General features: G+C 40.4%; 1 long non-coding RNA gene across 4 annotated transcripts in view, besides 2 other annotated features; it reads right to left on the reverse strand.

Moving 5' to 3' along the window:
* Positions 547–841: a silencer, noted in NCBI's record as "tiled region #9207; HepG2 Repressive non-DNase unmatched - State 24:Quies". NCBI's record gives its function as "represses a minimal TATA promoter and a strong SV40 promoter by Sharpr-MPRA in HepG2 cells {active_cell/tissue: HepG2}" and the evidence as "EXISTENCE:reporter gene assay evidence [ECO:0000049][PMID:27701403]".
* The window catches only part of LOC105376126 (uncharacterized), a 103,060-nt gene continuing 83,550 nt past the window's right edge, over positions 4,343–23,852 (reverse strand). For all 4 annotated transcript variants that reach the window (XR_007061642.1, XR_001746813.2, XR_001746814.2 and 1 more), the window contains 3 exons: positions 6,329–6,514; positions 4,586–4,672; positions 4,343–4,459 (listed from right to left, as the gene is read on the reverse strand). This is a non-coding gene — a long non-coding RNA (uncharacterized LOC105376126). The remainder of the gene's footprint in view (positions 4,460–4,585; positions 4,673–6,328; positions 6,515–23,852) is intronic.
* Positions 8,253–8,754: an enhancer, noted in NCBI's record as "NANOG hESC enhancer chr9:89814775-89815276 (GRCh37/hg19 assembly coordinates)". NCBI's record gives its function as "activates a minimal SCP1, AML or CMV promoter by ChIP-STARR-seq in naive H9 embryonic stem cells {active_cell/tissue: H9 hESC(naive)}" and the evidence as "EXISTENCE:reporter gene assay evidence [ECO:0000049][PMID:30033119]".

Here is a 23,852-nt window from a genome sequence, read left to right on the forward strand (position 1 = left end):
TTAATATTCTTTTAATATATTTTTAATTATTTGTATTTCCTTTCCTACCAATTTTCTGTTCATACATGTGTCTATTGGTGTGTATCTTATTTTCTTTATTTGTAGGACCTCTTTATAAATATTGAATGTAGCACTAATTTTACATAAGGATGAGACCTGGTGAGGGAAGATAAGTGACTTTTCCAAGGTGAGAGTACTGAATAGAGAGTCGTAGCTACGGAAACCAGTCCACTTGTGCTCCTGAATCACAACCTAGGCTATCTCTCACTGTTCAACTCATCTATTTTGAGTATAAAATTAGGAAATATGCTTATATAAATATTAGAGATTGTAATCATTTATTTTTATAACACTATATTTCTCAGCAAATATTTACTGAGTTTCTAATATGTTCAAAGGACTGGGATAGAGAATAAAGATAAAACAGTGAGAAAAACAGATATGATCCCCCATGAAGCTTATAGACTAGAAGGAAAAAAGCATTACTCAGACCACTACACCCATCCACGTAAAGACATATGGTAATGAGGGTGCTGCCCTTGTCTCAGGTTCAAGGAAGGCTTCTGTGAGAAGTAGCATTTGAGTTGAGATCTGAAGTATGAACAGGCATTACTTAGGTGAGAAGGGATGAGGAAGAGCATTCTTAGCCAAAGAAACTGCTTATGCAAAGGCCTTGTGCAGAAAGGAGAATTACTCACTCAAGGAACAGAACAAAGCCCAGCACGGTAGAAAGTTAGAGTTCGGAGGCAGGTGGTTAGGGGATGGAGAGTGATCCAAGACAATGCTGAAGACAGGAATGTAGGGGTTACATCTTACAGGGCCTTGTGTATTCCAAAAGCACTTGCCATTATTTGTAGTGCAGCTGAATACCTGGGCAAGTCTTCCCAGACATAGAAGGTCTCTTGTCTCCCCACTTTTCAATCCCTTACCCCATTCTACTCTCTCTTAGTTTTCATGGGGAGAAGCACTGTCAAGAAAGGCTTTTGTAAATGGAATCCCTGACTCCTCCTTTCTAGAACCTGGAAATCCTAATGCATCCCACTCATCTACTGATCCCTTCAGCCATCAGGACTGAAAATACATTTTGTCAGTCTACACCAGCATCATTGGTCTGCAACAATATTGTGAAATTCTTGAGTCTAGCTTGGAGAACACCTACAATCCCATCCTGGGCTAATTCATTTCCTTCTCCCCCACTTCTTTCACTGCTACTCAGGAAAAGAATTCTGTTTTCCTTAAGAACTAACTCTCAGGACAGGACCTGAAAATCTTTCTCAGTAAAGACTAGATATTAATATGATGTGAAACTCCTGTAGAAAGGTACAGACTGCAATACCCCACCCGCAAAGAATGGCATGATGGCTTCTGTAATCAACCTGGATTAGTCTATTTTCAGGAGAAAACAGAAGAACTTCACTTATGCCCCTGGAGTAGAGAGAGAGAGTGTGTGTGTGTGTAAAAGAGAAAGAGGGAGAATGGGCAGGGAAAGAGAGAGAGATGGGTGGGGGAGGAAGCTATTACCTGATTGATTTTGAGTTATAATCATTAGGTTACATTAATCATGCTATAAGGCTGTTGTTAGTCACCAGTATCCACTTTCAGACACATGGGAAGATGTCCTTTCTCGCTCTCTTTGATGTCAGGTATGGCAGTGCAAGTTGCTCTGGCCAATAGAATGTGCATGGAAACAACATATGGTAGTTAATTGTGGTTAACTTCCTAGACTATTCTTTCCTTGTTGCTACAGTCTTGGATGCATGTGTTAACATGGAAATGCCATAAGAGTGAAGTAGCCTGGATTGCTCAGAGGTCAATCATGGAGGACAACTGTTTGCCCATATTCATGGAGGGCTATAGCAGAGAGAGAAAACTTCAGGTGAGCTACAGAGACTTTGGGGTTGTCTACTACTGCAGCATTGCCAAGCCTATCTGACTAATATATATGCTTATTTAGGAACTTAGAAACATCAACGTGCACACATAAATTTTGTGTGTGTATGTGTTGTGGGGTGTATGTTTGTTGGGTATGTGTTTGAAACAGAGAGAGAGAAAGAGAAAGACAGGATTGATTTATAGTGAGAGCTTGATTTTAGAATAAGATACAAGTTCCTTAACTGCTTGATTTTAGCCAGTTTGGGACTTTTAGTTGTAAATTACGCAAATGGATATATAAGCATATATAAACAAATACATGGCTTACTTAAGTGTTTATGCACAATATGAAACATATTCTTATGTTTTTGTTTTGCACTGGCATACAAATGTACTATGGTCACTCAGAGTTGTCTTCTACAATCCACAAATAATATTTGAAAACTTGAGCTAACTAGTCAATTAAAAGCTCTAGGCAAACTTCATCTGTAAGATGCATTCCAGATTACCGTCTGAATCATGGACAATGTACACTGTACATTCATACCAACAGCATAAGAAAAAGCCAGAGCTAGGTTTAGTTTTATATTTCCTGAGTTTTCTTGATTGCCGTCTGATCCTTGATGTTATTCCAACATAGAGTGATTTTTAAAGGAGAATTTAATTTGATATAAGTCTGAATATCCTTTGGAATGCTAAAAACCAGCATTACTCCAGCAACCCTAATGAAAAACACAAGTTCCGTGTACCAATTTGTGGTCAGAGCCAGCATTCCAGCCCTGCTCTCTCGTGGCTGCTAGTACTCCATCGTGTTCCTTTTCCCAGCCCTTTGCTTTTCTAGCTAAAGATGTCAGAGGCTGTGGCCCACATGGTATGCTAAACAGCCCACTGCTTACAGAAGACTCTTACAGCTCAAGTGCAAACACTTTGAACTTATAAAACACACCACCATCACTACCATCAGCACCACTAAATGGAAGTCTCTGAGGATTTCCTATTAACATCCCGACAGATAGATGTGCACTTATTTTAAAACAACCTACATGTGCACACAGATGCATTTCCATATAGATTCAAGACGAAAAGCACAGCACCTTCCAGAAGAAAACTCATACAATTAGGCTGAGGCTGATTCACTCTCATGTTTTATCACCGGTGTGGAATGCCAGTAACAAGAGCAATCATTTGTTTGTGAATTCACGGAAGACTGGACTTTCACACTGGAAAGGGACTTCCCAATGAATAGCAATGGGGAGACTTGCTGTGTATTAGCATATTTTATCTGCCCTTGTTTTGAAATTAAACAGAGTTGTGGTTGAAAGGGGAAGGCACAGATTGCCACTGGGCTGGCTTTTTAGAAAAGTGGCATTTGGAATGAGGTTTAGCTAAGTGGGCAAATTCTAAAGTTAACTCTTAGGATTCTTGGGCTTGCAGAAGACATTTTGCCTCCTCGTGTGATAACAGAATCTTCTAGTCACTACTATTCTTTCCAGAAGGCTACTCGTTCTTGGATACAATGCCTCTCTGTTTTGACTGGAGATACTTAAATATAAATCAGGAGAATTCTAAGCTGTAGTAAAGGCTAATCTGCAAAGCTGAATTAAATTGTATTCCACATGTATTTACTGAACACATATTGTGTGCCCAAAGCTAGTCTAAGCACCTTGGGGTCAGGGGAGTGGAGGGAGAAGATAGATGGATGGATCGCAAAATTGAGATTGAGATCAAGATCAAGATGGAAATAGAGCGAGAGGTAGATGCATAAGACAATAAGAGAAAATTCAAAGTACTATGTCATTAAAACCAATGAATATTCTAGAAGTTCTAAGAAAAAATGATGAGCATGAGCTGAAATATTCAGGGTGGATATCAAGAGGAGAGGTGAGCCTACATCTAAATTTGACAGAAAAGGGGAGGATTTGGATGGATAAGGAGCAAGCATTCTGGAACTGGGAGTCAGTTACTAAGCACAATAAGTGTGTAGGCTTTACATTGTCAAAGTATAATCTTCTAAACATTAAAAGCATGACTCATAAAAATATGAAGTGCATAGCTTTCAAAGTTCTACTTAGCTCATTAATGGGGGAATCAGTATATTGTAAAGATGATTCAACAGAATGTACAAGAAATCAAAGTACATGTTGTTCATTAGAGTCAGAAGACTGAAATAAGATTGCTAAGTCAAAAACAAAACTGGTTAATGTTCTATGGGACAACAAAAACTGTAACATTTGAGGTTCCCCTTCCTACTGGACAAAAATATTTGCTTCTCTACTGTAAAAAGATCATTTGCAATTTGACAATCTCTACTGAGTTAAAATAAGTCCACAGAGTCTAGATTCTAAGCAATAATAATAAAAGTCAAACAAAAATACATCTCTCTGGAGAACCAGGTACTCCTTATGGAGGCCTGTTTGACAGTGCTCTCATTTAACATTGAAAGGACACAATATGGACAGGATCTACAAGTTTGGAGTACTTTTTAAAACAGTATTCAGACAGAAGGGAATTCTAACCTTGTTCCAGCATTTGCCCACTGTATGATGTGGCAATGTGCCTTAATTTCATGGTTCTTCAATTTCTTTATCTATAAAATATAGGCAATAATAGCTCTTGGCACACAGACTTGTCATAGGGATCAAATGAGATAATATACAATGTCAGAGTTTTGCATAATGCCTAGCACATAATGGCTAGGGTCAAGATACATTACCTCAGATAAATAGGGAAGGATCACCAGCAAAATCCCACAGATGCAAGCGACCACGGTGTTTGGAGAGCACTGGGTGGACCAGCCTGGCTGGAGAAGAGAACAGGGAAATAGAGAAAGATAAAATAATAGTTTTTAGTCAAGATTTGTGTAGATCTAAAATAACTTTTAGAAATAAGAAAAGGACAGAGAAGTGCACAAACATTTTGAGAAACCTGGGTTTTATTCCGAAGTCCATTGAGAGCTACTACCGGTATTTTTTTGTGCCGCATAATGACACGGTGAATGCAGAATTTGGGAAAAACTAACTCAGCTTTCTATAGGGCAGTGTGAAACAGGGAGAGTCTGTGGTTAGAGAGGAGAGTTAGGAAGTGGTAAAGGGTTAAGACGCCAAAAGAGAGGAAGGAAATGTACATGAATACTACAGTGTGAAACTGAAAGATTGTGGGAATGGTGTTCTCTTTGATATTAGTAGGCAGCTTAGGAAAAGAAGACAGTTTTAAAGTGAAGATGAAGAATTCCGTTTGCATCTACTGACTTTATTTGGGACAAAGAGATATGGATGTTGAAATGTTCCATAGACCATGGGAGACCAGGATTTGGATGAGAAATTAATGGTGGAGATATAGCTTTAGAGGTCACCCATCCAAACATGATATATAAAGCCTTGAAAGTCAATGGACAAATCTAGCACTGAAGAGGAGACAGCAGAGGAACAAGAATGATATGTGTGTTCTTTCTTTCTTTTTTAAAAAAAAGTTGTTTTCCAAAGGATAAAAACATAGCAGGTCATTGGAGAGAGCGGAGGGAAAGCTCTAACACTTTGGAATCGAAAGTAGAAGAGTGATGCGGGAAAGAGAAGAAAGCCAGCCCTGTTGAATAATCCCCAGAGCTGATGGAGGACGATGGAGGCAAAACTCGCTGAGTTGAGTTGACCTCCCCATTAAATGGAAGAAACTCTGGAAATACATGGAATACATTGGCTTAAATCCACTCTAAGTTATAAATAACCCACAGGAGAGAGTGTTTGCTGGTGGAAGAGTTTGCTGGGAGAAAGGAAACATTAAAGCATGGGGGAAATTGAAGGTGAGGAGATTGGAGCATGCGGTGCCTTAGGCTTGGTCTCCTTTCAAACCCGCTCTGGGACAAGAACGTGAATGCAAGCAGTTGATTTAGGATGTGATCCCAGGAAGGACCAGAAAAGAAGCAGATATTGGGCCAGGGATGGGAAGAAAGTCAATGCAGGGTACATTAATCAGCAGGGTCACACTGTGGGCAGCCAGGACTCAGTCCTGCTAGGAGCCGGGGAAGGACTGTGAAGAACCAGTTTGAGAGCCATCCCAGCTGAGCAGAGACTCTTCGGAGTACTCAGTCACCAAGTCTAGGCTGCTAGATGAGAGATGTTCCTGGATTTTAACTCTCTGGTACTTTTGGTCTACTTGTGCCTGCAACCAGAGAAAGCCCTGAGGAGAGAGCATAAGGCTGGCAGTAAGCAGCCTCTGGTGTGTCCAAGAACAGCAAGTACTGAGGGGCTACGGGTGGGGCACCCACAAGGTTTAGAGAGCAGATGCTGCAGCCAGACTGCCTGAGTGTGAATTTGGCTGGATTTTCTGCCGCTGAGTACAACTCGGGGCAGGGCTGCTGGGGTCTTCTGATATAGGTCCAGCTCAGCTTGCTTCTAGACCGGCTTCAGAAACCTAAAAGAGTCAAGTTACCTGTCGGGAGCCTGATATCATTATTACTCACCACATTTTGGTCACTTGCTGTGTGTCAGACATTGTACAAGATGCTTTCTACGTGACAGAAACCCCTGCCTCTCCACACAATCTGCTCTCTCCTTACAATCTGCTCTCTCCGTCCTCAGTGGATGGGGGCTTTGTTACTCCGGCATTAAGTGGCACAGATGAGTTAGCCTCACTCCTGAAGGTTCTCCTGTAAAGATGATTAATATTAAGAGATGCTATACTCTAAATACTCCAGAGACCTAAGGATCTACAGATACTTTTTCAGGATCGACTGGGGAATGACGGTTGTCACGGTGTTGAGAGCGTTGCAATGTTCTTATCAGACAATCACAAACACACGCTGAATCCAGAAGATGCTGGACCATAAGGCATTTCTTTTCACACCATGCAGGTCCAAGAAGTCTTTATTCTCTACTCTTTCTCCCTCTTCTCTCCCTTCTCCCCCTGTTAGTTTTCGGCTTCTCTGGCTTCCCTTCATAATTCTGGCTCTGTCATGGAAGCACATGGCAAAGCTGGCCGTGTTTCCTCTGGAGTATTCCAGGTCCACTTGGCTGGCCCTCTCCTTAGAACCACATTCCTGGGGTTATGGGGAGACAACAGCTCCCTGTCATTACTAGCTGAAGGGAATAGTAGCATCCTTCATTAGATCCTCTCAACCTTGCTCATATCTTTATAGATAGTCCCTTTATCAGCCTCACTTCAAATTACCCAATGAGGGTTTATCTTCTGTTCCTGCAGGACCCTAACTGACAATACAGCACTCAAGTAGACTACAGGCAATTCCGTGGCAGAAACCCCACCTTATGCTTCTCTCTGAGCCTGTCCTTGCAAAGATACAACCACAAATGTTAGTAGAGATTAAAACTGAGGTTCAGTGTGGACTCCATCAGAGGAGCATGACTGTTCCTGGAGAAAAAGCATTTTCAGAAGGGGCACTGTAACTTCATTCTTTTACTCAACAAATACTGAAAGCCAGGCACTGTTCTAGGTGCCAGGAAAATAGTATGAGCAAGACAGAATTTCTGCCTCCAGGAGTTATATTCTAATGGAAGGAGTGAGTCAGAACACACACTGGTATAAATTAAAAAGACAATTCCAGATAACGCTAAGTAGAATTTTTAAAGTGCTAGAACGGGAGGATACTTAGTTAGATGGCTAACTAAGGCTCTTATAAGTTCATTTCCAAGGTGATTGGGCCCCTTCGTTAGCATAACAGAGACACCCTATTTTGAGGACTTCTGAAATCATTGAGGGTAATTTTAACAATGCAATTCAATGGGAGAAGGAAAAATAAATCATTGAAATTTGGGTATTAATGTTAAAGGGACTTATTTGGACCCCAAAACAGGACTGTACATCTCTCCACCCTTATCACTGATGCGCCTCTAGTAGTCCAAGAAAAACTGTGTCATTGAAGAGTTGCTGCAATTTTTTCTTCTCTTATGGAGACTGTAACTCTGATCAAAGTGATATGAAGATGCTATTCTTTGGCTTCTGCAAATAGAATGAAAATGACTTTTGGCTGTGGGTATGTGAGGTTTTTCTCAAAATGGAATGTGAGGGCGAGCACTAATGTGCTAATAAACCTCTGTTGGCAGGAAAGAGGTTTTGTCAACGAACTGTGAGAGAAGCAGAATATAGTCCCAAGAAGTTGCAAGATGGGGTCTGCTTTACAGGAATTGGAATCAAATTCAAACGTTTTATGGTTCGGCCATTTAAACATTGACTTAAACATTTGGACATGTATCCATCTCTGGTCTAGCCTGGAGCCACTATAACTTTCACATGAAATCCACTGCAAGCTACTAATTACTGTCTTCACAAAAACCACAGTGCAGGCAGTAGCTGAATTCTGCAAATGGGTTTTCTGCTCTCAAGGAATAATGCTAAAGGGAGGAAATTTGTAGATACCCAGGACCCCTACCCACAAGTATTTCCCCAAAACTTATTAATTTAATCCCAGGGCTCTCCTTCCCTTCTCTGGGCCCCATAGCTACCAGCTTCTCTCATCCTCAGCTCTCCGGCTTCTTCCCTAACAGCACATGCATTATAGTTTCTAGAGCAAGCTGGCTCAGGACTGTTAGAGGTAATCTCAGTCGACTGTGGCACCTTAAGGATGGAGCCCCTCATGGTGGCTTTTGTCAAAGTATTTAAACACTTACACGTGCCCAGCGTGTTTGAATTCTTTTCTAAGGAACTTACCATTTGCCTAATAGAATGACAAAAGCTTGGTAGCATAAGATCTGTTCACATCCTTGATATATGAAAGGCCATGGTTCTCAGACTTTTTAGTCCCAGTGCTTCTTCACACTCTTAAAATTATTAAGGCTCCCAAAAAGCTTCTGTTTTATATAGGTAGCGTTTATTGATGTTTTCTATTTGAAATTAAAACTGATAATTTTTTAAACTTACTTAAGATAACAATAAATATATTACATGTTGTCATAAATATCATACTTATATGAATAGTAAGTATATTTTCCAAAACCAAAAATATTTAATGAGAAGGGTAGCATTGTCTTACTGTTTTGCAAATCTCATTAATTTAATATCTGGCTTATTAGCAGATAGCTGGATTCCCATTTCTGTTTCCGTATTCAATCTGTTAAAGTGCTGTTATCCTTTCCCAGTTGGTGGGAAAGCAGCACCATGGGGTAGGAGTGCAGGGGGCGGGGGAAAGAAAGAACTTTCTGCTAATCCCAAGAATGTGCCATGAGATTTGGAGAGTGAAGGAAAAATAGTCTTGAGGTGTTGCAGTTTCACAGTTTTACCCCTTGAATCTACAATGTCAGATTTCAAATATTAGAACTGGATGGGATAAAATGGAATGTATTAACGGCATTCACCATGACCTGGATAAGATTAGAGACTATTATTCTAAGTGAAGTAACTGAGGAATGGAAAACCAAACATCGTATGTTGTCACTGATATGTCGGAGCTAAGCTATGAGGATGCAAAGGCATAAGAATGATACAACAGACTTTGGGGACTTCTGGGGAAGAGTGAGGGGAGGCGAGGGATAAAAGACTACACATAGGGTGCAGTGTATACTGCTTGGGTGATGGGTGCAACAGGTTCTCACAAATCTCCGCTAAAGAACTTACTCATGTAACCAAATACCACCTGTACCCTCAATAACTTATGGAAAAATAAAATTAAAAAAAGAAAAACAACTGGATGGGAACTTAGAGGTCACATGACAAACTCTTCAGTCGAAAAAGTAGATTGACTTGATGACAAGTTATTGGGGAAGTGAAGCCAACACCTAAAGGTGTAGCATAAGCACACACTGATGAGTCCCAAGAAGCAAGAAGGGAATGGAGCATGTTGCACCACTCCCCCTCCCCCAAGGACCTCCAGTTTTTTCTTTATTGCTGAATTGTTCTCTCCAGCAGCATTGGTCTCCATCCAGTGAATATATGTTCAGCTAGCCACTTAACAAACTCAAGCTGTGGTTTTAGGGCTGATAAATAATTATGTTAATTAACAGGTTGGAGGAAAAATATGATGTTATTCCCGTGGAATGCTCTGAAAAGCTGGAAACACTTAACTGCAAAAACTACATGTGGTGAAATAACCAATAATTTGCTTAAAAAACCCACATCTGGTTTGCTGGCTCAAAGCAGGGGTTAACAGTCTTTCGAGGGCAGCCAGTGTCAGAGAGGGGTCCCAGGATAAACAGCCAAGCCTTCACGGCAGGAAATATGCTTGTTCTTATAGCACAAGCATTTACATTGGCTTCTAACCAAAATGAAACGTACAAAGAATTGTTTGGTTTGTCTTTTTCTTTTTTCTCTTCATAACATGCAGTTCAAAAATGCCTTTCTCATATTTGTATGCTTGAATATGGGACAGAGGGAATAGTCACAATAGAATAACAAAATAATTCGTTGCTCCAAACTTCTAAAAGAATGCAGAAAACACACCATGGTAATAAAGAATAGACAGGTTTAATTCATACATGCGTAATTATTTATTATCCTAACAGACACTGATTTGATACATAAGTACTGAGCATCTTCCTTGCACAAGACACAGATATGAAAGTTATAACTCATACACAGGTGAGCCATCTGTGATCCCAGATCTCCAGGAAAAAGTTAGCTCAGAAGAGAGAGTAACACATATCTACAACATGTGGATAATACAAATCCCAGTGTGATATGTGTCATTAAAGAGAGAAGTAAAGTCCTATAAGTGGCTTGAAGACCGGAAGTTTCATGTAAGATTGGAAGCGTCCACAAGGTTTTTTGTCAATAGTGGTATTTCAGCTGAGGCATAGAAGATGCCTATAATTCCAACAGATGAAAATAAAGGCAGAATGGCATCGGGCTGGAGCACCCCAGCACATCTGTAATAAAAGCAAGAAGCAGGGGACTGTGGCTAGAATGCACAACAGATGTAAAGAATGTGGGGAGGGGACAGGCGCAGTGGCTCACACCTGTAATCCCAGCACTTTGGGAGGCCAAGACGGGTGGATCACCTGAGGTCAGGAGTTCGAGACCAGCCTGGCTAACATGGTGAAACCTCATCTCTACTAAAAATACAAATATTAGCTGGGCGTGGTGGCACATGCCTGTAATCCCAGCTACTCGGGAGGCTGAGGCAGGAGAATCGCTCGAACCTGGGAGACAGAAGTTGCAGTGAGCCAAGATCGTGCCATTGCACTCCAGCCTGGGCAACAGAGGGAGACTCTGTCTCCAAAAAAAAAGAAAAAAAAGAATGTAGGGAGGCTAATCAGAGAAAAGCAGTCATTGGAGGTGCCCATTGGAATATTGATCTGGCAGCAATAGCGCTGGGTATGCTAAAGGGGAAACAAATAAGCCTAAGGACCAGAAAGATATTCTCAAAACTGTGCGGGAAGTCCGTACACTGGTGCTGTATGTTCACCATTATCTGCCAGATATTTATGTAACATGACAACTGATTGGGCCAAGGTAGGGGAGGAACTGAAGATATTTTCATAGGCTCCATCTGCAGAGACTAACTAAGAAGATGTGCTTAAATTTCTGGCCACCAGATAGATAGATCCAGCAGGTGGCTAAAAATTCAGGTAGAGAGGCCAGAACCACAAGGGCAGGGGGTATACGTAGGAGTCAACAGAAGGAAGAGCACAAGGGGAAATGAGAAGCAGTCTCCTGTGGCCACGGGGGCCTCTTCCAATTCCCTCCACACTGTAGCCAGAAAGAGCATCAGGAGATGCAGATTTGACCACAGCATCATCCGCTAAAGGCTTTCCATTGCTCTTGCGATACACATCAAAGTTTATCACGGCCCGCAAGGCCCCACAAGTTCTGTCTGTTCTGTCCCCATCTACCTCTCAAGCACTACCTTCTCCCTCCCCTCCGTTTGTGCTTCAGCCACTGTGGTCTTCTCTCCATCCCATGGCCTGCTAGGTTCCCTTCTGTCACAGGGCCTTTGCCCTGCTTAAGAACATTTGCTGTCATCAGTTGGCCTCGCTACCCTCTACATATAATTCTCAATTCAGTGGCCTTTCTTTAGGGAAGCGCTTCATACTTCTTCTGGTTGGGTGGGTCAAATCTTTACATTATATTCCCTCACAGCATCTTATGTTTTCTCTTTCCAGACATATTGCAGTTGCAACCATGTATCTTTTTGTACAATTACTTGATTTACAAAGGTTCCCACATGAAGCTATAAGTTCCTGAGGACAGGGTCACCGTGGATCCTTGATTTTCAGCACTTTACTCCTGGTATTTAGTAGGCTCTCAATGCATAGTTGTTGAGTGAATGCATACTAAAGAATGATATAAAAATGCTCTCACCTGCGTTATTCCACTCAATCTTCAACAAACAGCTATAAGGTGGATATCACAAGTTTAGCTTTACAAACAGAGAGGCTTTACAATGATGCACCCCTCTCCACCTCTCAGCACCATATAGAAAGTCAGTGGCAATGTTGTGGTTTTGACTCTGTCCACCACACAGACCCCACCTTGGGAGCAGAATCCAGGTCTCAGATGCCAAAGGGGCATCAGGGTCTAGATGGCCACAAGTGCCAAATGCTGTAGAGGAACCAAAGGAGGATGGGAACAGGGACACTGCATTGATTTGGGACATCATAGTAGCCTTCTAGAGGGTGGTGGCAGAAGAGTGACAGGTGCAGAAGTCAGACTGTGGGCTCTTTAAAGTAGTTTGAGTGAAGGAACGTTTTCAGGGAGGGAGAAGGAGTTGCAAGGTGATTAGAAAAAGTCATCCAGTTTGTCGAGAGGGAGGCTGAGAAAGAATATTTGAGGACTAAGAAGACCACAAGCAACTTAGGGTAGAATCTTCTCCAGGATGAGTGAAAAGACAAAACAGAACCACACTTCCTAAACAAAGAAATCGAAACTCTATTCCAAGAAAATTTATTTAAAAAGTGTAAATGGCAAACGTGTGGTTCTGTTTATTTATTAGTAATCAAAGATTGAAAAGTTAGATTAGAGGTGCCATTTTTACTTATCAAACTGAGACTATTTTTTAAAAGAAGGATGCTTGCGGTTGCACTACTATTTATCATCTGATGTGTTTAATAAACCTCACAGAGCATCAGGCTAATGTCCAGAGGTTGTGCTGGCCTTCATTGAGGTGGAGAGTAAATGTGATGGTGTTCTAAGGGAGGAAAAAACATCGGCTCTCTCCCTTGCCCAGCAGGTTCTTCTGAGGAAATGGGAAAAGCCATCTGCTGAACAAAATGCTAGTCCATAACATGGTGTAAGAATGGATGATACGCTCTCTGGGTGGCAAAAGGCCTCCCTAATTTTAAAGCAAGAGAAACATATAAAGGTATGCTGTCTATACAAACAGTAGTTATGTATAACAAATATTGCCATTAAAATAAAATAAACCAGTGGAAGCTTTCAATTTAAAAAAATGTTTTAAGAGCATGGTTATAATTCACTGATGGAGGCTTCTGATATTCCAAACAAAATACCTATAAAGACATATCCAATGAAAGAGGAAAACTTCTTACATTGGAACGAATACAGGCAATCAACCTAATGTTGGTTGGAATTAGGGAGGATTTCTACTGCTTGAAGAACTACAGACCAGTGTGTGACTGTGTTTGCCCACCTGAAACCAACTACCCCATCTGTCCCACAGGGCTCCCTGTGTCCCCTACCATTCACCTCTTGGCTGAAAGATGAGGACCTCCACCAACTTGAAAACTCTCCCTCTGTTGTAGGAGTATCATTTTTGAGGATGACTTCTATCCCCCACATCCAGTTGGTATCTCTTTCTCATCAGTAAAAGAATATAACACAAGGGGGTTGTATACAGTGCATCCTAGGAGCTGTAGGCCTACCCAGTAAAATGCTGTCAAAATAGGCCAAGCAGCAGGGCACGCAGAGGAAGCGGGCTTTGTTGTGTACTCTGGCATTGGCAGTTGTCAGAGAACAGGCAGAGAGAAGGAAAGAAGACCCCTCCTAAGTCCAGCAGAACCTGACTGAGCGGAACCGGGGCTGGGCCGGGAATTGTAGATGAGAGAATTCTTATCTTGTGCGTGGATAGGGAGCAGACAAGTGCAGGTTGGTACCTTGGCCAACAGGCCCTGGGTGAAGAGACAGCCTTCTCTTCATCCTAAACTGGAAAAATGAGCCAGAGAGACACAAGACACCACAAAGTAAGAGAACTGGAAATTCCTCCTAAAGTAATTCTGAAGAGCAAACATAGATGTGTCCAAGAAATAAATAGAATAGAATACGCTACCATTTTTGCTTATCAAGTTGGCAAAAAAAGTTTAATGGAATATTTAAAAGTAATAAAGTTTTTAGAAGAGACAATGAAAACAACATTCTTATACACTATCATATACATTATCAATGGAGACATAAATTTCCAGAAACTCTCAGGAAAAGATTTAGGTGTACCTATCTTCATCATTGCAATCTTATTTAAACAACCTTATGGCCTAATATAGAAGAAGGATTAGTTTTTTATAGACGTGTTTGCATAATAGGCCATTATAAGGATATACTCTAATTTATTTAATGATGTGGGGAATGCCTATGATAAAACTGTAAATCAAAAATGCAGGATACGAACCTCATTTCAAAACAATATGACATCAGTTTTAAAACCACACAAAAGCACATATAGACATAGAAAAAAGATTAGAAAGAAAAGAAAAAAATGGGAAGAAATATGTTTAAATGTTAACAGTGATTATGGCTGAAAATACATAAGATTTAGGATTATCAATGAAGCAGAATTTGTTATATTTTATAATAACATACGTAAATAAATTTTTTAAACCATGAGGAGATGTTTTTAGAAATAGCCAGAAACGGAGGGAGAGGGGTGCACATCAGCACACAAGATCCCAGTGATGATGTGCGCCAGAATTAACGCACGTCAGAGACAACTTTCTTTCTCCCCTAAACAGGCCCCTAGAATACCATTTAAAAATGTCAAGGACCTGGTAGGCAAATTCATGCATGATGGATACTTCACAAATCAGTCATGGAACAGTTTTATTAACAGAAGTTTTATAGGAAAATGATCTCATTCCAAGCGGTGCTCATGGACCCAAACTCTGAGGTAATGGGAGAACTATCATAATGGAAAGACTTTATGGAATGATAAATTAAACACTAGAAAAGCAGTTGAGAGTTTAAGTCTGACTCAGAGACCACAGCCCGAGCCTCATGTTGGAGGAAGTCCCTGGACAAGTCATTTCACCTTTCTGGGTTCAGGGTCCTCATTTATGAAGTGGGGATTATAAACTTCCAGTTTCCCTTGCAGTATTATTATAAATAACAAAAGGCAAATGAGTGCTCTGCAAATAACTTATCACTGCATTATTACATTAATGAGAGAAGTGCAAAGAGTTTATGAGCCTGGGTACTAAGGTTGTAATGTTTCACGGCATCACATTTTCTCCTAACAATGACACTACATATTGAGTGTTACTGGAAGATAATCCTTTTTCAGATTAGATAATTTTTTGCAAAGTTTGGCTAATATCTGTTTTACTTATAATGCTGGTGTTTCCGTTGTTTAGTTTGGTTTCTATTGTTTTGTTTTTTAGAACACTCAAAAATATTTTTCACATTTGGAATTGGTATTTGAAGCATATTTTCCATAGAAGTACACTTCCCAAATACGGAAACGTACTTCCCAAATGCAGAAGTATCCATAAAATGTTAAAATCTGCATTTTGAGGGTATTTGGTCAGTGTTGTGGGGAAGAACTTCATTTTCCTAAAATGTTTATGCCTGTGCATGATGTGTGTGTTTGTGTGTATGTATGTATGCATGCATGAGTGTGTGCCCACTGGTACACCTGTATATTACAGTCAGGAGGAGGGAGACTAAGTCAAGAAGATATAAGAAGAAACAGTGAGGATGATGCCCAGATCCACGCCTCTCCAGCTGACCCCTATGAGATCAGGCCAAGTTTTGTAGAAGTTGTCAATCCTGAGTGATTTGCGTTTATCTATAAGGAAAAGACACACACAAGGCAACAAATAATTGGTTCCAGTTGCACAAAATGTAGACTAATTGTAGATAAGAAAACAATACGCACAAAATGTGTTTAACAGCCATGCTTGTAACAGAGAAAAATAACACATCTACCAAGAGGGAACTGGTTAAAGTTCATCCATAAAATAGGGAGTTCTATAGGGTCATTGCAAACTCTGATCAAGATCTACATTCAGATATCAGAAGATATGCATAAGCTACCACCGAGTGATTGAATCATAAAATATGTATTATATGATCCAATTTTATAACTATAATCTACAAGTATATTTTGTATTAATGTATGTATTGCACAGGAAAAAAAAGCCCTGAAAGGATACACCCTGAAAAGTTAATCCTGGTTATCTCTAAGTGACCCAATTTGAGGTATTTGTTTTGTTTTGTTTTGTTTTTTTGTTTTTTTGAGACGGAGTCTCGCTCTGTCGCCCAGGCTGGAGTGCAGTGGCGGGATCTCGGCTCACTGCAAGCTCCGCCTCCCGGGTTCACGCCATTCTCCTGCCTCAGCCTCCCAAGTAGCTGGGACTACAGGCGCCCGCCACTACGCCCGGCTAATTTTTTGTATTTTTAGTAGAGACTGGGTTTCACCGTTTTAGCCGGGATGGTCTCGATCTCCTGACCTCGTGATCCGCCCGCCTCGGCCTCCCAAAGTGCAATTTGAGGTATTTTTAACTTTCTATGTGGGTGCAATTGTTCGAATGTTTAACAGTCCAGATATTATTTTTAACAGCTTAAACAAAATAAGACCTTTTCATTTTGAGAAAAATAGCAAATTATATTGTCCACCAAAAAATTCTTAGAATTGAACCTTAGACATAAGAAGCAATGAACAATTAGCTTTATTCTTTCTTATCATGAGTTCAGGTAATGTGTTTGTATCCTTAACTCTGACCCTAACCTTTGACTTTGAAAACTTGCAGAGCTTATGCAGGAAACAGCAAGTCAGCTCAATTGCACAAAAAGCCTCAAATCGCTGGTATAAAAATTCCTAAATCTTAAATAGGAACCATCCAATCAACAGATGCTCTTTTCTCTGTAGCCTTTCTTCCCTTTCTGGTATAAAATCTGTACCAGTGGCTTTGACAACACTTTTTCTAAAGCCACAAGTAAAGGTAAACCTTGAGTGAAAAGCCAAGTAATTATTTCTTCAGAATTAAAATCATTGTGGGTGAGGATATTGGGCCAACTAAAGTTGAAACTGATTTAAAGGTGGTTTAACTGGGGACCCCTAATAGGAATAACTAGCTTGACACACCAATTACACCTAATACACTAGGTAAACAAAAAGTTAATGTCAGAATAGTATTAACTACGATGTTTGGTTAGTAGAAAGAAACATTTTCCTTCCTCTAATCCTTCCTTTAAGATAGACAGCAACCACAGGGACCTATTACGGAATTAAAATTAAGTCATATTTTTCAGTTTTTGTATGTAGCCAACAATTCCTCTAAAATCCCCTCTGAAGTGCAGTCAGGCATTGCTTTCTTTTAAAAAATTAGCAAAATAAGGACATGTTATGAATTCCAAGAGGCGATCCTTTGGATACTGCAATTTCCCTTTGAGCCTGAGTTGTGCTGATCCTGTTTCCAACCTTATTGCAATGAAGCATTATTGGAAAATGCAAGTTTGTGGGGTTAAAGCTAATGTTAGTTTGTAGCATGGAAATTGTGCAGCTAGAAGGATTTTTTAAAGTATCTCTTTTTGCTCTCTGGACAAAATGGGGAGCGGGAGAATGAAGATCTGGCATTTAATGCTTCTTGGTGAAAAACCATGTTACTACTCCTATCAATCCAGCTAAAAAAAATGTAATGCTATTTAAGTCCTCTTGGACTTTAAAGGAATCTGAATATTTTTACTTTTCTAATCTGTTCATTTTTGATAATCATGTGTGTTTTAAAGGAAATGTAATATTTGTAGACAGCCCTGGCTCTTAGCGTCATAATCTGGGAAAACTGAGGAAGATGTGGAGGGTGGTGGCTAGAGGCAGTTTCGCTTCATTTGCATTCATCATTGCCCAGTAAAATGTCAGAGATTCTCAAGATTTGGGAAGGTGACAGTGAGCTTTGGAAACGATTACATCGCTGTGCTTATTAGTGCCTCCTGGTAGCCCCAATCCTATTTCTTTTATAGTTCAGTTCGGTTCTTTTTCACCTTTTGGAAATATATGCTCCATGCTTACAGGATAGCCCAAATGGATGGAGACAGTAAAGCCTAACTATTGTGAAATGCCAATGGCTTTTCACAATGAACATGTTTCTCTCTGAGGGCCTGTATATTTAGGCTCCACGTTTAGGAGATCCTTGGCCTATGAAACTATACCTTACACCTCACACCTCCATTGGGAGGTGACATCTGGACTCTTAACAAGATGCCTGGGATGGTGGTTGGCTCTTCCCAGAGCCTGTGCTCCTTCTGGCCAGCCCAAAGCCCACACTCCTGGACTAGAGTGGGTTGAATAGTTTCCCCTGAAATTCATATTTACTTGGATCATTAGAATGTTACCTTATTTAGAAACAGAATCTTTGCAGTTGTAATCAATTAAGATGAGGTCGTACTGGATTAGGGTGGGACCTCCTTAACAGAGGAATGCCATGTGAAGACGAATGCACAGCTTGGAGTGATAAGTCCACAAGCCACGGGGGGTGCCAGCTCCTAGATTTCAAATTTCTAGGCTCCAAAACTGAGAGAATAAATATCTGCTGCTCAAGCCACCCAGTTTGTGGTACTAGGAAATGACTACATAGCAGATTGAAGAGGAAGTTCTTTTTTTTTTTAATACTTTAAGTTTTAGGGTACATGTGCACAACGTGCAGGTTTGTTACATATGTATACTATGTATACATGTGCCATGTTGGTGTGCTGCACCCATTAACTGGTCATTTAACATTAGGTATATCTCCTAATGCTATCCCTCCCCGCTACCCCCACCCCACAACAGGCCCCGGTATGTGATGTTCCCCTTCCTGTGTCCATGTGTTCTCATTGTTCAATTCCCTATGAATGAGAACATGCGGTCTTTGGTTTTTTGTCCTTGCGATAGTTTGCTGAGAATGATGGTTTCCAGTTTCATCCATGTCCCTACAAAGGACATGAACTCATCATTTTTTTATTATTATTATACTTTAAGTTTTAGGGTACATGTGCACAATGTGCAGGTTTGTTACATGTGTATACATGTGCCATGTTGGTGTGCTGCACCCATTAATTTGTCATTTAACATTAGGTATATCTCCTAATGCTATCCCTCCCCCCTCCCCCCACCCCACAACAGTCCCCAGTGTGTGATGTTCCCCTTCCTGTGTCCATATGTTCTCATTGTTCAATTCCCACCTATGAATGAGAACATGCAGTGTTTGGTTTTTTGTCCTTGCGATAGTTTTCTGAGAATGATGGTTTCCAGTTTCATCCATGTCCCTACAAAGGACATGAACTCATCATTTTTTATGGCTGCATAGTATTCCATGGTGTATATGTGCCACATTTTCTTAATCCAGTCTATCGTTGTTGGATATTTGTGTTGGTTCCAAGTCTTTGCTGTTGTGAATAGTGCTGCAATAAACATACGTGTGCATGTGTCTTTATAGCAGCATGATTTATAATCCTTTGGGTATATACCCAGTAATGGGATGGCTGGGTCAAATGGTATTTCTAGTTCTAGATCCCTGAGGAATCGCCACACTGACTTCCACAATGGTTGAAATAGTTTGCAGTCCCACCAACAGTGTAAAAGTGTTCCTATTTCTCCATATCCTGAAGAGGAAGTTTTTAAAAAAAATCAAGGAATTTACATTTCTTCAAAGTTAGACACCTGAAGCTTTAAAATCAGGCTTGAAGATCTTTTTAATCCTCACTTAAAGATCACATGGAAGATTGTTTTCATTTGTAGGTGAGAATCTGGAGAAATAAATAGATTCTTCCTGGTTCTTGCCAAAGTCAGATAATTTTATGTTCTTCCTAAAATGGAAAATTTGAGAACAAAGAAACTATCAGGACATAACTGCTCTGTTCCCTGGTTTAGATATGACTGGTCACAGCATGCTGTATCATCAAGATCTTTGAAAGGACATTTCTTCAGGTCACACAATTCTTAAACTGCAAAGTTGTTTGTGCATTTTAATGCACACCATTTTATTACAAAATTCATTAAAAGAAAGATGCAAAACATTCCACAAAATCCAAAAAGTATTATGATATCATGTGCTAGAAATTTGCTATGTCATAGAGTACACCACAACTTAAGAAATTCAACTAAGCCATGGACCCCACAGAAATATTCAATGTAAACTTTAAAATCTATTTCTTAAAATTAAAATATAGTTTATCCCCATAAAGAACTATGTTACTTCAATTCAGGGACTTACGCTGGACCTAGTAGTAAGTTAGTTTGCATTTTTAGCAAAGCAACTGACAATTCACATATAAAAGCACATATGCATACTGAAAAATGTGCACACTCATGATGTCTCCAAAGCAAGATAACCGACTACTTATGCTCATCTGGGTTCTAAAGCACTTTGAAAATCCTGAAAAACTTAATGCTGTAAAACATCCAGAAAGCTAAATAAAATAGGACAAACATACTTTCATACTTTTAAAAATGTATATGTGCTTATAAGCCTAAATAAAAACCAAAAGTGAAGAGTAAGAGGAAAACAAAAGTTAAAAAGTAGAAGTTGGTACTTTGTCTACCCTGAGGTCACAGTGAGGTCTTAGGTTTAATATCTCCCAAGACCAGGAATCCAAGACTTGGACCTGCACGAGTCAAAGAGTTAGAACTGAGACACTGGCATACAGGTGGGACTCCCCAAAAACCAGGCTTCAGGTACATAAGAACAGTCTAGTTGGAGCACAGGATGAATGCAGGAAATTGGTAGGAGACAGTTATATAAGCTAGGTTATAATGGACATTCAAGGCCCTCTAAAGATTTACTTATTGATACATCACAATTAAAAATATTCCCTGGTTGGTTCATAATGGATCCCTTTTTCAATCAAGTGGATACCTATTTCATAGAAACTAGAGAAATTCTGTGACACTGAAACTGGAATCACAGCTTTCTAAAGGCTATAGGTGCATTTTTCACTGGAACTCTTCAGAGTCTCGATGTTAAACCTAAATCTGGAAAAGGCAGAAAGCTCTAGATAATTGCTGGGACATATCTCTGCTCATCAGGTAGACTATGGGGACTGCCTCCACCTTCCCTGTATATTTTCTTAAAGCTCCTATTAATTTAACAGGCCTGGGAAAAGGATGAGTCATAAAGGTGGAAAAATATGTTGGCTGCAGCTTTGGTAAAGGGTGAAATGCATTAACCTTGCAATGAGTCATCATCACCTTAGGCAGTTTAAAAAATAAAAAACAAAAAAAGTCTTAACCACTGTGGTTCCCCATCTCTGGAAGTGTGTCTGCCAGTGTGTTGGGATTTGGTAACTTCTTGTCTGGTGTGAATGCAGCCTAATGCGAGGTTAGTTTCTCCAGAAGGCGGCCTGAAATACCTCATTTCCAACAGGCAGCTTGGAAGCTTGGCTCCCCCACCTCCCAAACCTCAGCGGGAGAAACAGCTGCAACCCACCTGGCTCAGTGTAGCCAGTTTTGCTTGGTTGTAAAGGAAGGAGCAGCTGCTAGTACCAGCAGAGCCCCCCAAATAGACATATTTTAAAAAATCATGCAGAGCCAATTAAATTCTAAGAAAATTACATTGGTAATAAAATAATGTGGAATTTACTTCTCTCTGAACTGTGACTCCCAGATCAGTTGAAGTAAACCCCAACAACTCATTAGTTTAAATATGAACAATATTAGCCATTTCACCATTACATAGTTTTAGAAAAATAATCCCAAATCCTTTACCTTATAAAAGAAAGAAAGGAAGAAAGAAAGAAAGAAAGAAAGAAAGAAAGAAAGAAAGAAAGAAAGAAAGAAAGAAAAGAAAGAAAAGAAAGAAGAAAGAAAGAAAAACTGCCTCAATATTATGTTCAGGCCTCTATTGTTGTCAATGTTTATGAAAAACAAATGGCCTTCAATTAATCATTTGATGCTGGAAAGGGTTGTAAGGCCTCTCAAGCTATATTAGTGAATAAATTTCTGTTTATTTAACCACAATTTTTAGAGAATAGTTGCAAGACTCCTAAAAGAATGGCATTGTTCTGGGCAGGGGAGGCAGCTTTAGGTACTGTACAGACCTGAATTTGAATCTGAAAGTCGTCACTTAGCAGCATGTGACCATGGTCAAATTACTTAGCCTCACTGAGCCTCAGCCTTCTCCTAAGTAAAATGAGGCAAAAACACCTCTTTCAGGGTGGGTATGAAGATAAAATGCAGTAACAATGTACCATCCTTCGGCACATGCCAGCTCACTTCCCTTTCTCCCTTCCTAAAGCCTTACCACTTAAGGGCCCAGCAGCAGGGCTGGTTTCAGCCAGTCCATGAAAGGAGGCCTTCAGTGAACCGCACCTCAATGGGCAAGAAAGGAAGAGAGGGTTATCTTGACAGCAGGAAAAGCTATGGTGAGGGACAACGGGCAGACAGTGGGACAGGCATATGGCAAATGGTGCTAGCACTACCCAGCCACTGAGAGCAAGTCAGGGTCAGGCATGGCTGGAGAAAGGAGGTTCTTGGGCATCATACTAAGGCATTTAGACTTTATACCCTAAAGAATGATGCATCTGTGAAGGTTTGGGTGCTGGGAAAAATTTGTCTGACATTGATGACTTCATTCTGATCATCTCATGCTCTTTTGCTGTGAGTCAGCGGAGCCTCTTCTGCAGTGACGAGGAAGCTTCAGTGCTTCCTAGAACTGCCCTCTTGCTTCGCAGTGCCTGATCCTGTTAGAGCCCCTGACACATCACAACTTTATTTCACAGATGAAGAAAGTAAGACCCAAGGAAGTGAAGTGACTTGCCATAGGTCGGCATCAAGAACTTGAAGTTCATGTTTTCTAACCCTAAATCATGTGCTTTTCCCACTACTTCTCACTGATATTATAAAGATTCTATAAAAAGGCATCAGAATAATCAAATTGAAGAAAGGAAAACCTGGGAAACACATGCAGTCTGCAATATACACACACCACAGAAAGAAATGAAGTTTTAGGGCCAGACATAGTGGCTCATGCCTGTAATCCCAGAACTTTGGGAGGCCAAGGCGGGCAGACCATGAGGTCAGGAGTTTGAGACCAGCCTGGCCAACATGGTGAAACCCTTTCTCTACTAGAAATACAAAAATTAGCTGGCGTGGTGGTGCGTTCCTGTAATCCCAGTTGCTCTGGAGGCTGAGAGAGGAGAATCGTTTGAACCCTGGAGGTGGAGGTTGCAGTGAGGCAAGATTGTGCCACTGTGCTCCAGCCTGGGCCACAGAGAGAGACTCCATCTCAAAAAAAAAAAAAAAAGAAAGAAAAGAAAAGAAATGAAGTTTTAGGATTCACTATGCCCCCATCACTCAGTTAAATACCTTAGAGCTTAATGATCAGATGGAAAAGGACACTTCTTAGGAGCTTGCTGGGCTCCCTTGCCTCCCCAACCATAGAGATAAAGAAAAAAATTTGAGTCCCTTCAAGGACAATTCAAGGCAGCTAGCTAGCCCTACAACCAGCAATTAGAAAAGTAAATAACCCACTAAACAAGAAGGTAATAATAACTTAAACAATAGGCACCCAAGTAAGCTAAAGTCACAAGATATTTTCTTCCCTGTAACAGCTCCATATAACATCTTGAAATATGTCGTTGTTTTTCAGAACCCAGTACTCCCACCAAATAAAGAATGCCAACCACTGTTGCGTAAACCTCAGATGAAGGAAAACTGGGGACAAAGCTCTGACCACTGCTCTTGCTCTAAATTTCTTCATGAGGGACCTGAAGAGACTCACGCCCAGAAGCCAAACCTTAACATTCCTTTCTGCTGACCCCAAGTTTTTAGACAAAGCCTTACTTCCTTAACCAATTGCAAATCAAAAAATCTCTAAATCCACCTATGACCTGTAAGTTCCCGTTTCAAGATACCCTGCCTTTAGAGGCCAAACCAGTGTATGACTTCCATCCATTGA

Source organism: Homo sapiens, chromosome 9 (assembly GCF_000001405.40).
Source record: "Homo sapiens chromosome 9, GRCh38.p14 Primary Assembly".
NCBI lineage: Eukaryota > Metazoa > Chordata > Mammalia > Primates > Hominidae > Homo > Homo sapiens.